Raw genomic sequence first — 15,459 nt, 5'->3', positions numbered from 1 at the left:
CAGTTAAGGCAAGTCAATCTTGATTTCCACCCTATCCCTGGATCTTCCAGTTATAAAAGCCGAAAGCAATCAGCCAAATGCAGAAAAACAAAACCCACTTTTTTTGTCATGTATCGTTTAAGTCAGTCTGAGTTGCTTTCCTTTTAAGTGAAACACAGAGCCCTAACAGATTAAAAAAAAAAAAAAAAAAAAAAACTGGCTCCATTGTTGTGGGATAGAAAAAAATCAAAGGGTGAATATATTTTTCATGCCTTTTATTCAGCCAGGTGGCACAAATTAAAGGACCAAGTTAATGCCAATATGTATGCTCAAATCTGTATATTGAGCCAATCTCAGACTTATGACATTAACACTGTACAAGCCTGTATTACTTCATGAAATGAGAATGCTGAGTCTTTGATTACAGGGCCACTTTAGCCTTTAAACACTGCTTACCAATATTTATGCAATCAAATGCTGAAATTTAAAGTCTCAATCTTGGGGTCTTTTCCCCTTTGCATGTGAAAATTGCGGTGGGGAAATAGTAAAATGGCTCACTACCAAAGACATCGTTTTATGTTTGAAACCATTTCAGAAAGTTTTAGCCTAACTTATAACTTTTTAAAAAATTGTTGGCATGTGATTTTTTTGTTGCCTCTTACTTGAACAGGAATATATTAATAATGTTACAGAACTGACATCATCTTCTTATCTCCAAGTAACCTGTGGTGTTTGTATGTATGTTTGTTTTTGCTGCAGTTTCCTAAATACACCGAAATGGAATTCTGATGTGGGTTGACTCACATAATTGCAAAGGTTCTTGTGTGATTTTTTTTCAGTTAAACATGTCAGGGAAGAAATATAAAACAAATAATAAAATGGATGCAAACACTCATCAATCAAGAGCTGCCTGCCACTTCAGTGCTACTAGAAGGGCCCTCAGAGTGACAGCACAAATGCATGTTGGCAGGCCAATCAAAGCTTTAGAAATAAAACAAAATGTTTCATACCGACCCCTCAACTCTCTAAGGCCGTGACAGCCCAGTTGCAATTTCATTTTTTACATTAGTTTTGAATTTCTTTATTAAATCATTTTCATTCCGATCCTTTGGCTTTCACATACATGCCAATACCATTGATGGCAATAAAAAGTAAAATATTTATAATCTTTGGAGAATGGTGTTCTTTAAATATATTTGTGACTTGTATTAAAGCACAATGATAATATTGGCATTTTTAAAATTTTCACAGACAGTAAGTTATGTAATCGCAACATAAAATAGGACTTTAAAAAACAAAGAAAGGGGCAAGAATGAAAAAAGCAATTATTTTTCTCATTTCATCACTATTCTAATGCCAATAATCCATAGTTCCTTTTTAAAATTGTATAAATATAAGGAGATATAACTCAATAGAACTGCTAAGATTAACAACTGCACTTAATGTTGTTCTTAATGTACCTTAGTCTTGGTTTGTGAAGCCCAAATATTCATGCCAAATTTATTTACAGTGGAGTTACTTCCCTTTATTGGTTCAATCATAGATTGCCATCCTAATAACAAAGCTTCCAGCATGATTTGTAAAGTTTTAGATCCACCATTGGTCTAGTTTGGGACATATGAAGCATGGCAGTGAAAAGAAGGGATCTTGTTAATGCATAAGGATGAATGGAAATTTCCATTTCGTTTTTCATTTCAAGCTAGGAAAGCAGATGTATTCTAAGAGACAGCACAACTGAACTAAATTCTTCTTTGCACCCAGCATTCTCTCTTGAGGCAATATACTTTTCCTTTTTTCCTAAATAATTCACAAATTGCTTCCGCACAGAGGCCAAACCAGGTCAGAACAAAATTCAATTACCTCCTATCACCATATTCTCCTCTTACAAGGGAATGCTGTGGGTATAAGGTTTGCTATCTTAATCATATGTAAAGGTTAAATGCCAAACATAATTATAAAATTTGGGGGTCAGGATGATAGCATCTGATATCCTGTATGTTTTATTTTATTTAAAAAGGTATGCTCAGTCTTACCTCTTATTTATCTATCGTAATAATTCTTCATTAAATCCTTCCAAAACTGCTCTTTTCCAGGGTTTTTCTAATTATCTTTACCTACACGCAGACCACAAACCATGCTTTGTGTCACATTGGGGCTCATCAATATGTCATATCATGTTCTGTCACTTTACAGAACACAGTATGATAGATGAGATTTCAGAACGAGGCACTACATTATCTCTTGGCACAATAAAACATGAAAAGAAATAGATTCCTCATCCGAATTTTTCCATGTATTTGCACTTACACACACCATATGGGTTTTTCCATAAGATTTTGAAAGTTCATTAGAGTTAAATAATTTTAAATATATACTATTCTAGACATTTACTTTTTCCTTTCCTCTTTATAATGAAGATTTGTGATTCTAATTAAGATCTGTTCTCAGTGATGAAAAATAAAAGACGGATACTAAATTCTTGAGATAGTAAGTTTACTATTCATTTACTTCCTGTAATGTTTACATCAGTCCAGTGAGTTAGGTATGATAAAATGTATCATTCTTGCTTCAAGATAAAAATACAGAGGCACTGAGAGATTAAATCATGTAACTTAAAGTCAGACACTGTCTAAGCAAGGTCTAAAGAGGCTTTTCTACTTCTCCAACTGACCAGATGTACATGTTCAAGGCAAGATTATTCTGCACATATGTTGAGAATTTACTATGCTACATATTAATCTGTGTTATTGTCATATTGTATAAACACTTGTGTGGTGGGAGAACTTTGTTCCCAATGGCCTTTGACCCCTGTGTTATACCTATTAACATGTTAAGTGACATGGCAAATGGAACTTTGCAGATGTTGTTAAGATGAAAGTTCTGTTGACCACAAGGTAGTAAGATTATTCTGGATTATTCAGTGGGCCCTATATGATCACATGAGTTTTAAAAGCTAAAGCCCAGCACACATGAGGACTCCTACCAGTTGTTATAAACCAAAGATTAACAATTATATTGAGCAACAACAAAAAAGCCAATTCAAAAATTACATAAGCCTAGAAAAAGAAGAATAGGGATGAGTTTGACAAAAAAGAAAGTTGAGAAGCCCTTCCTTCAACACTTTCCTCCACACTGCCCCTTACTTTCAGTCTTGACAGTCTTGATGTGACACAGAATTTCTTGACATCAGCATTGAATGGAACCATTAAAGAGTGAGGACTTTCTAGGTAAATAGTCTGCAGCATCCTGGAAGATTGTCTCCAGCCAGCCTTTAGAAGTTAGCCTGGAGTGTGATATTCCCCTTGTGGTGGGGTGGGGGGAGGGGGGAGGGATAGCATTGGGAGATATACCTAATGCTAGATGACGAGTTAGTGGGTGCAGTGCACCAGCATGGCACATGTATACATATGTATCTAACCTGCACAATGTGCACATGTACCCTAAAACTTAAAGTATAATAATAATAAAAAAAAGTTAGCCTGGGACTAAACTATGTACAAGATAGAAATATAGTATCAGAAGCAGTAGAATATTATCAAATCTCACACCTGTAAGCAGACCAAAATGGCAGCGGCAGCCAGAGAAGAGGTGTGGGGACACAGAAGTCATAGTGGGGACAGCATGAGCCACTATTGTGTGATAAAATGATCAAAATGCAGGCACTTGGAAATCTCAACACAAACCAGCTCATTTGTGAAAGTCCTCTTTGGAGCTGAAGTTGTTAGTAGTGCAGATGAAACCCTAATCATTCTGGAATTCTCAAAATCAGAAAACATCATTAGTTCTGTTTTCACCTGTTAGAGATGGAGAAATAATTATTTACAGCAGCTGCTGCCACCCTTACCTCTCCTACTCACAGAAGATATTGCAAATTCATCGCTATGCTTCTTGCTGCTGAGCCATAGCAAGACCTTGCTGTCCATCTCAGCACAGCCCTCTAGAAAACCGCTGCCACTTAATAGAAATTTCCATATATCAAAAGAATATTAAATTTATCAGACTTACCTTGGTATGAATACTGGTTTTACCACTTACTGTGTGTCCTTAAGTCAGACAGCAAATCTTTCTTGGCCTCAGTTTATTTATATATATATATTATATATATATAATTTTTTAACTTATATATATAGTTTATATATATATAATTATTTATTTATATATATTTTTATTTATATTTTATTTATTTATATTTTTATATATTTATATATTATATATAAATATATATTTTTATATAGCTTATTTATATATTATATATGCATATATAATATGTATATTGTATATACATATAATACATATATATAGTTTTAATACATACAATATATAATACATATACATATTAAATATATGTAATACATATAATAATACATATAATATATAATAGTAATACATATAATATGTATAAATAATGTACATATAATAATACATGTAATATGTATATTATATATGAATAAACAGTATAATATTATATATGTATATATGTATGTATAATATATAATACATACATATATACATATATAATATATATAAACAGTATATATATAATATATACGTTATATGCATAATAGGAATTGTAACTATTCCACTCTGTTATGTTCTTACAGACATCAAATGAGTTAATTTATGCTCCTAGAACAAGGGTCAGCAAACTAGAGCCTACAGGCTAGAGCCTATGTCCTGCCATTTGTTTCTGTATAACTAAAGAGCTTCAGAATGGTTTTCATATTTTATTTTATTTTATTTATTTATTTATTTATTTATTTTTTTTTTTGAGACGGAGTCTCGCTCTGTCGCCCAGGCTGGAGTGCAGTGGCGCGATCTCGGCTCACTGCAAGCTCCGCCTCCCGGGTTCACGCCATTCTCCTGCCTCAGCCTCCCGAGTAGCTGGGACTACAGGCGCCCGCCACCACGCCCGGCTAATTTTTTGTATTTTTAGTAGAGACGGGGTTTCACCGTGTTAGCCAGGATGGTCTCGATCTCCTGACCTCGTGATCCGCCCGCCTCTGCCTCCCAAAGTGCTGGGATTACAGGCGTGAGCCACCGCGCCCGGCCATAATGGTTTTCATATTTTAAAATGGTTGAAAGAAATCAAAATAAGAATATTTGTGGCATGTGAGAATTACATGATATATAAATTTCAATATTCATTAGGTTTTATTGGAACACAGCCACATGCTTTTGTTTAGGTATTGACTATGGCTGTTTTTGTGCTATAATGGCAAAGTTGAGTAGTTGCAGCAGACACCATATGGCCCACAAAGCCAAAGTATTTCCTACATTGACCTTTACAAACAAAGTTTGCTGTCTCCTGTTCTAGAATGATAATGGGTATTTTTTTAAATACTCTAAATTGCTTTTAGCTCCCTTACCTTTTTCATTTCTTGTTTGAGAATCCATCTGAGAGCAAAAAGGGCTCCAGGACCAAGAATGGGAAATGTTTAAGACCTTGCAATAGATCCACAGACATATACGCAAAGCCAAATATTTGCTGTTATTCTGTCCTACTTTTATTAAACTGCGAACAGCTCATCTCAGAGATAAATATTCATTTGTAGATGTAATGTATATTCCAATGACTCTTGCCCACAGGTGCTAAAGATAAGTCATAACTACTGAAAAAGTGCTCATAAGAATTTCTCGAGAGCATACTACCCACACACAAACAAATATGATAAGTTTACTAATCAGCTATCACACTGCATTCTCTACTTCTTACTTTTTAACTGTAGCTCAATCTCCTGGAGGGCACCATGACCACTTAGAAGTCCCATCTCTGCTGATTCTCACAGTTTCTCATGCTGGGCTCTGCTTTTGACCAGTGTCACTTGTGTTGGGTACAGCTGTGGTTTCTGAGCCTTCCTCTTACACTTGGCATTCTTGCCTAGACTGATGCGTATCTACTCACGCCAGGAACAGCAGCTTACCTTGTGGATCTATATGTACACCAGGCACTGCCACTGCCTGCTACATTAGAAGCAATATGTTTCTTCATAAATACTGTGCTGCTGAGTGGAGAAGAATGTTTGTCCCTCATTTTTATGCTACATTCTACTAACGAAGCTACTTGGGTTCCAATAACTGAATTTAGTGAGTATGACTGCAAACTGTTTACAAATCATTTCTCATGTATAAATCATGCCCTGCCCTCTCTACCCCAAGATCCGACATGAATGACTCTAATTGTGGAAAGGAGTCACGTTGGATGGAGGAACAAATCCATGTTTCAGAACAGTGCTAGAATCTGATTCACCACTCCATCCCAATACAAAGGCTTTGTTTTAAGGCCAAGCTTCTCATATCTGAATATTTCTACCCTGAGGATAGTATGCATTTCTCCGGAGGCTTCAAAGTTCCTAATGCAAATTGACTTTTGGCGAGTCAGCTCCATAATTTCTTCAGGGATGTTTGGTCAGGTATGAACTACAGTGGTCACCCAGCTATTAGCGGATTCTAGATGCCCGCTATGCAGGATTGTCTTTAAAGTAGTCATAACAGAGTTTCAATAAGGAAAAAAAAGTTGGTACCATTAAGTGTACCAACTCTGGAAACAATTGCATAAACTTCTCTTCTGTCATACACAATGTTTAAGATAATAAAGCCTATGCTTATTAATATTTAAACTTATGCTTATACTTATTTTATTAATATGCTTATTAAGACCAAAGATCATGCTTATGATGTTTAAAGTCCTTTTTAATACTTCTTGTAATGTAGAGATTCTGAAGTTGTTCTGGCTTTACATAGTACTGAATTTAGTAAGAAAATACCCTGTGGAAGACCCTGTGAATTACAGTCCCAATCCCTATTTCTCTTTTATATACTTTACCAAGAGAATTACTAAAGCTCAGGACTACAATGTGCCCAGCTAAATACTTATTATACCTGCTTTCTTTGCAGACAAATGTGACCACAACACTGTTTTATTCAATGAGTTGTCAACAGTGGTATACTGGGAATTTTGAGAAAAAGATATTTTCTTTCCTGGTAGAAAGGAATAGACAGAGCTGGTACCATGGTCTTCTTCTGACCCTATCTTCTCCCATTATACAAATATGTTGTCTACAGTCATAACAGCAATTTGGTGAATGTGAGGTGAACAAGCATACAAATGAAATACATAAGACAGTGAGTAAAAGGAATAGAAGGAACTTGTATCTCTGCAAACATTGTTCTGCTAAAACCAACATCTGCAACCACTTCCAGACTTCTTGTTATGTAAGAAAAAAATTTGCTTATATTTGTTTTATGTTACTATTGTCCAGTTATTCTTCTATTTTCAGGTTTAAAAAAGTTCCTAACTGATATACTAGGTTTAGCCACATAGAATTGCTGATGTTAACCACATTTAAGTTATAACAATAATAAATTTCATATGGTCAATGTAATATAACTTATTTCATTTGTTTTAAATATATGTCATTGAGCAAGACTTCCATCTGGTATCACAAAGCTAAATATAAATACGAGTTTCAGTATATAAAAGTATTTCTTTACAATTCATAGTAAACCAATTTCCATCTTTACTGATGTTCGTTGTGCCAATGATATGAAACACTGGATAAAACATTCTCCTAAAAAACATAAAAAAAGAGAGATAGGGAAAGAGGGAGAGAAAGTCAATATCAACACTCAAGTGAAAATTTAAAATATAATAATCAAGGCTAAGATGTACATAAACTCAAATACATTATTTATTGTATATTCTCTGTGTATTTCCCAGAAATTAATTTTGAAAATATGTTCTAAGGGAATTGTACAAGATAATGACAAACAACCAAAAAAACTCTATTACAACATTGAATATAAGAACAATGTACTACTTGGAAACAGAATAGGTAAGCAAATTCTGGGGCATCCACTACAATGCCCATTATGTAAAAAAAAAAAAAAAAAAAAAAAACCATAAAAAGCTTAAATTGGCAATTAAAGTTACACTCGATAACACATATATTGCTGTTCCTTTCAAATACTATCCTTTTCTTATAGAATTATGTCTACTTTGTTCTGGGAAATGATCTATCATAATTCTGTTCTGACTTATTTTTTTAAATGTGGGATCAGAGAAATCATAAATAGTTCTTTTTGCCGATAAAAGCTATAAGATAGGATGTTCAGCCTGAGCTAGATATACAAAGAGGAATCAAAAACATGTCAGAGAGATTCCAGCGATGGTTTGAGTGTCTGGTAGTTCTTGAAACTAAGTAAGAGCATTCATCTTTTCAGAGACCGAAGGTTAAAATTTCCTTCAGTTGTTTGATATAAGCTTTTATCTTTCTAACAACTAACTTTTTCCCCCCTCAACCAGTTTGATTTCCTGTTCTGTCACGTGCATACAAATGTATCTTGATATAATCACATTAGAATGTTGGGTGAAAAAGAAAATACAGCTGGACATAAAACTGTACTTACATGTACAAAGACAGCAATTATATGTAATTAAATATACAAAGTAAAATGTTGTTTAAAATTCTACAAAAATTTTGAACTCATTCAAGTAAATAAATATTATTGAGCACACACTCTGTACCAGATATGCATGTCAGAAACTGAAGTTACAAGTAATTTTTGTCTTTTGGTATTAGGATTATTGTTAATTTTGTATGTCTTGTTTTTCTTTCAAAATGTTATAAAATAAATTGGTATTTTTAAGAAAATATTCATAGTAGAGAATGGGGGAAAATACAATTTTTGCTACACTATGCTTCTAGTGTGTATAAATGTATATAGGTATAAAAATTTTAGTTTTAACAAGTATGCTAAGATATTATACTGTTAAAATTATAAAAAATGAAGACAATAAGACATTAATTTTATTTATCAGGGTTTCCTAACCTGTGTGCTGAGGAACACAATGTGCTTACAAATAGGTTAGAGGAGTGCAGAGTTATGATACCAGCCTCCCTCATAGCTGAATGGAGATTGGGTGGCCAGATGCCTAAGCTGGTTGCCACAAAGTAAAAAGAAGCTTATACGGTCCACGTCAGTAAGCTATAGATTTATTATTACCTTATAGGTGGGCTACAATAGATGTTTGGGAGCATTGCTTTATGTGATCATCTTGGTTCTTCCTCTAGTTAGGATGTCCACTAATTTTGAGTATTATATCTCTTTCCATCAAAATAGCAGATGGACAAAATGTAAAATCCATCTGCTCAAATAACTAGAAATCCTTGAAAGAAAATAATTAATTAAAATAATTTTGAATGCAAGTGTGAGTTGCTAAAAATGGAAGGGAATTGAAGAGAAAAATGTAGGAAAAAATGAAATACAATTTCTAAACTGTCCATGGTTTCAGAAAAATTTGGTGTTCAAAACATAGGGATTCTGTTTATTGTTCATATGGGAGCTAACGTCTGGGTGTTTATTAGCTCCTAAATAGTCAGTGCTCAAAATAAATAAATAAATAAACATTTGTAGGAAAGTAGGAAAATATACCCAACAATTGGCTCAAATAAAAGATAATAATATTATTTTATTTTGCCTTGTCCCTGGGTAAAACAAAAATATGTCTCTTCTGAGAAATCAAAATCCAAAAACTTTATCTTGAATAGATTTAGGTTCAGAATTATCCATGAGGTCTGCATAACTCCAATAAAAAATTAATGATAAAAATTTGTACCCTCTAGTGATAAATCTGGGATATTTGGCAGAAGCATAGAAAAGGCACTCAGGAGATAATTTCCACAACCAATACTATAGGGATACCAACACACACATATACTAAGAAATAAAGTTAAGTTAAAATATAATGACAAAATTTACAAAATGTAAAAGAGAACAATCTACTTGGCCCCTGAATCAACAGACTCAACAAATATGGCAAACTCAGCCCCAAGAACTCAATGCAGTACAAAAAAATAAAAAACAATATAAAATAAATAAATATGCTTAAAATAGTTAATAAAATAGTTTTAATAAAATCTCTATAAAAAAGACATTTAGAAAGTATAAGACCATTTGTAAAAGAGCAATATTTTCATGTTTCCTGAGAAACTCATTAGATGGGATAAACACCATTTAAGGAACAATTCAGGATGAAAATGGTAAACCTTTAAAAACCTGGAAAATTTACCAAGGTGAAACACAGAGTGATAAAGAGGTGAAAAATATCAAAGACAGTAATACACAAAAGTCAACAACTTTCTTGTATACAAGCAGTGAGCTGGCAGTATTTGAAATTAAAAAAATACTATTTACATCAATCCTCCAAATAAAACACTTACGTATAAATCTGATAAAATATATTAAATGTTTACATGAGGAAAATGACAAAACTCTAATTAACAATATCAAAGAAGACCTAAGTAAGTGGTGAGATATTCCATGTTCATGTACAGGAAGACTCAATATTGTCAAGATGTTAGTTCTTTCCAACTTGAGTAATAGATTTATTGCAATACCAATCAAAATCCCAGCAAGTTATTTTGTGGACAAACTTATTCTGAAGTTTCTATGAAAGGTAAAAGGTCCGGATTAGCCAAATCAATAGTGAAGAAAAAGAGCAAAGTCAGAGGACTAACACTACTGCACTTCAAGATCTAGTATAAAGCTATAGTAATCAAGACAGTGTTGTTGAAAATATAGATGAATAAATCAGTGGAACAAAATAGAGAGCCCGGTAATAGACCATGTGATTCTAGTCAACTGGTCTTTGACAAAGGGCCAAAGACAAGACCTGGTCAACCAGACATTTACATTAAAAAAACATGGACTTAGAAACAAACTTTTACACCATTCACAAACATTAACTGAAAATGCATTATAGAACTAAATGCAACCCACAAAACTAAAAAAAATACAATACAAAATAAAACTGTAGGAAGATAACACAGTAGAAAATCTAGATGATCTTGGGTTTGGTGATGATTTTTTTAGCTACAATACCAAAAATACAATCCATGAAAGAAATAATTGGTAAATAAGACTTCATTCAGATAGAAAACTTCCATTCTGCTAAAGACAATGTCAAGAGAAAGAGAAGACAATCCACAAACTGGGGACCGAGGGAGGGTACATGGAAATTCTCTGTAATTTGCTCAATTTTACTGTGAACCTAAAACTTTCTGAAAAATAATGTTTATTAATTTTTAAAAAGTAAGAAAGGAAACAAAAACAATGCATATTTATTATCTACAAAATATGACAGCAGAAATAAATCCAAATACATCAGTAATAACAATAAGTAGACACAAGCCAATGTCATCAGTTGACAAAAACTCTCAAAATGAACTAAAAAATAGAAATCTGTAATATGATGTACACTAGAATTACACATAAAACAAAATGACAGGGAAAGATTTTATATGAAAGGATATAAAATGATGTAGGCAAATACTCAAGAGAGGAGTTAACATAATGATATTAAGCAGACAGTTTTGAATTTAAGACAGGACCATTATTATAGATAAAGTCAATACTGTACACATGATTAAAGGAACAATTTGACAAGATACTATAATTCAGAACAAGTATGAGCTTCAAAGAGAGCCTCAAAACATATCATTCAAAATTTGTCTGTATTGTGAGAAAACTGGACATATCTTAAATTAGTATGGGAGATTATAATACCACTCTTTCAGAAACTAATTCATCAAGCAGAACAAAAATCAGAATATAAATGATTTAAACAAAACAAATAACAAGTTTAGTCCCCACATATTGGCATGTATATATAACTCTTTCACCTGTATGATTAGTGAATATACATTGCATTCAAGCAAGCATTTATTAAAGTTAACCATATATTAAACTATAATACAGTAAATACCAAATAGCATGTAGGGACTGTACCTACTATAGGCAATACTTTAGAAAGTAAACTAAGACATAGCCACGCCAAACAATAATAATAATTATAACAGCAAATAACAATTATAGTAAATGCTGTATACTAATTACACACATACATGTTATCACTTTAACACAAAATATGACAAATTGGTATTTATCTGAAATCTTGTTTCCATTTTCTGGAACAGCTCTTTTCTTACTTCTAATTGGATGTTAAATGTTATATGATTTATTATTATTTCTTTAAGATTCATAAATGTAAACTTTTTAAAAGGAAAGCATAAGTAGGACTAAGGAAAAATTAGCCATATTTAATAATAAATAATGTCATACTGTCTTCTAATCCATGATAAGGTAAGAAATTTTATCCTTTCTGTTACCTTTTCCAATAATATAGTAGTCTCCCCTTACCCACGAGAGTTAAGTTCTAAGACTTCCAGTGGATGCCCAAAACTGTGAATGGTATCAAACTCTCTCTATAGTCAGCCATTCATATGTGCGAGTTCTACATTTGTGGATTCAAACAACCATGGATCAAAAATACAGTATTCACAGAAAGCAAAACCCACAGACATGCAGGGCTGACTTTTCATATCTGAGGTACCACAGTGCCAATTGAGGGACTTGAGCATTGAGAAATTTGGTATCAGTTGGAGGTCCTGAAACATCCCACACAGATATCAAGGGAAGACTGTACTGTTTTTTTCTATACATGATATAGAATGATGCAATTTAATGTCTAAATTAGGCACAGCTAGGAGATTAAGAACAATAACAAAATAAAATAAAACAATTGTAACAATATAATGTCATAAAAGTTATGTGCATGCAGTCTCTGTCTCTCAAAACATCTTATTGTACTGTACTCACACTTTTAGATCACAATTGACTGTGATAACTAAAATCACAGACAGCCAAGCAAAATCACAAATAAGAGGGAGCCACTGTATTTGCCTTAACTGCCTTCAGCATTTAGGACATCATTCTTTATTTTTATTTAGAGGTAAAACTAAATACAATCAATCCTAAGATTCATTGTGATTTCCAGCTCTGTTTTTAACAAGTCCCCATTATGCTGATTTCTTGTGTCAGTCTGATTGATAACATCAAGCTAAGCAGCCTCTATGCAAAAGCATTTGAGCATGAAATACTTAGCATTTTACCTTCCTGCAACAGCAAATTTTAAAACTTATGGGAATTATTCTCAAAAACGCCCATATACTCTGTATCTACAGCCCTGTTTTGGTAGGCCAGCTTTTGCAATCAAGTCCTTTGCATCTATAAATTCATCATATAGGATATCCATCTCTAAAATAACCATAATTTTAAAACTCACATTGAATGTCATCAGAATTTAAACTTTTTTTTTTTTTTTTTTCAGGAAAAGTGGATTTAAAGCAGGGAGGTAATTAGAACTTGTGAAGTTTAAAGTAAAAGCCAGTTAAGTAACAGTCTTAGTGAAAAAAAAATTGAGAAAAGTCCTGTTTATCTTTACCTTTGCCATTTTCTAGTCATATATTTTGGGGCTCTAAAGCAGTCTTATTTCTATTTTAAAAGGTCATGTTTTCCCAATATGTATTTTTATCACAATCTACACATAACAACAGCAAATACTTCAGATGCAGTTAGTTCATCTTTTTTTAGACTGCTCATGGCTTCTACAAAAGACCATCATAGAATTTTGGGGGAACAGAACATGAACTTCTGTTTTACTCTAATCATTCTCTTTTGTTTTTGTTGTCAATGTATTTCCAAATTAGAAATGGACACTATTTTTCTCATACTTTGAAAATATACTTTTACAGGAGATTTTAAAATTGTTTCTATGGTGGGCAACATGTAGGCCACATGTTTAGGACATTATCTACTCTTACTTCTATGAACTGAAAATTTTATTGTGTGGTTATGCACATTTTGAAGAAATGAAAAATGACAAAATACATTCATTATGAAAGCCTCAATATCAAAGATAAGCAAATTACACCTCTTTTTGTAATCTTGCATAGAAAGCATGCAGGACATTTAGCTAAGTAAGAGGTGTTCATTTTCTGTGGTTGAAATTTATGGAGGAATGGAATTTGCCAAAACTTGTATTTGTAATTTTTGCTGAATATGCAGGTAGATGAGCATGGCCTAGTTTGTATTTAAACAAAATATCAGCAATCTATTCTTTTCTGGTTTCTGTGGTTTTATTAATTTTTTTGTAGAAATTAAGCTCTGTATTTGATTTTACAAACTGAAGTACTTAAGAGTACCCTGTTGTTTTTGTTCTAATGATCTGACATATCACTTGATATACTGTAAGAAGGCATGATCATTAATATTAATAAAATCTGACAGAATCAGCTCTACACTATAAGAGGCTGATGTCAGACATTTTAGTTGCAACCTCTGTATCAGGAAATGTAACTTTACTCATTTTCATAGAGCAGTCAAGGGATAGATGTGATATTATGCATTGTGTATGTGGTATGTCCACGCTAATGCGGCAGCCACTATTTTCAATAGACCATCTGTGTCTTTTGGTGAGATGAAAAACATTTTGATTGATTTAAAATTACTTCCTGGTGTTGGCTTGTGAGATTCAGTCTTCACATATGCTTTCTTCACCTCCTCAAACGCAGATTATTTTCTGTATATTTTATAGTAAGCTCTGTTTTGGTTATTTACCTTCTGAATCCTCTTTTAGATATTCTTCCATCTGCCATTAAATTGTACAGTCATTTAAGCTTCTTTTCCATTGAAGGCTAGGTCATTTTGATGTTGATATTATATTTGTTCTCGTTTCCATTATGGGAATTGTTAGAAAATCTAGTCACAATATTCACAATGTTAACAACTAAACTAGTATTATCTTGATACAAATCATGATAGTTAATCCATCACCAAAATCAAGGACAAATTATGCATGCTCACAAATAAAACACACTTAAGTTATACAGTTAACTTGCTTCAGTCAGGTGATACAACACTGGATGATCCATTATTAGAAACTGCAAAGCATGATTGCCAACATAGGTGGCCAGGGAAAAAAATAGCAACAGGGACTATAGAAAGCAGATGGTCCATGCTGCATCCATTTAATGGTAAAACAATGCTGCTTTCAACCCCTATTTTTTGTCTGTCTTAGAACTCCTGTACCTTTCTCCCAACTTTCCATACCTATTGCTGAAAAAATGGGTGTTTTTGAGTTTCAGGGAGGGATTTCCAGGTTGTAGAACTTTTCAGTGCTAAAATCAAGACATTCCCCATAAAATGAATAGTGGGCCAGCCCAGCTGTCCATGATGCAATAATATGCAAAATTATTACAGTAAAGAAAACATGTTCCTGATCCCTATGCATTTGCAAAATTTAAGGCACGTTTCTCGATTTCTAAATGTATCTTCTGAATTCAGGTATTGAATTTTAGATAATCCACTAACATTATTCACCATATTAATATACTAAAGGAGAGAACTATAGGATAATGTGACTGAGTGGAGAAAAAAAAAGTAACACAACATTCGTTTATAATTAAAACTCATAGAAAACTCCTAGAATAAACTTGTTTAACTTGGTAATGTGTAACTAACAATAAAACATAGAGAATATACTTACTGCTGGATTTCTGGAAACATTATTTTTAAAATCAGAAGCAATACAAGAAAGTTCATGATCCTTGTATCTATTTACGTGACACTGGAAATTCTAGT

General features: G+C 32.9%; 1 long non-coding RNA gene across 1 annotated transcript in view; it reads right to left on the bottom strand.

Annotated features, from left to right (window-relative positions):
* TSG1 (tumor suppressor TSG1) overlaps positions 1-15,459 on the bottom strand; it is a 72,604-nt gene that overhangs the window by 3,059 nt on the left and 54,086 nt on the right. Inside the window, exons 7-8 of the long non-coding RNA NR_015362.2 lie at positions 15,365-15,454; positions 5,346-7,547 (exon numbers count right to left, since the gene is read on the bottom strand). This is a non-coding gene — a long non-coding RNA (tumor suppressor TSG1). The remainder of the gene's footprint in view (positions 1-5,345; positions 7,548-15,364; positions 15,455-15,459) is intronic.

Source organism: Homo sapiens, chromosome 6, assembly GCF_000001405.40.
Source record: "Homo sapiens chromosome 6, GRCh38.p14 Primary Assembly".
NCBI classification, from domain to species: domain Eukaryota; kingdom Metazoa; phylum Chordata; class Mammalia; order Primates; family Hominidae; genus Homo; species Homo sapiens.
The sequence above is the reverse complement of the archived record's forward strand: the minus strand, read 5'-3'. Positions and strand labels throughout refer to the sequence as shown.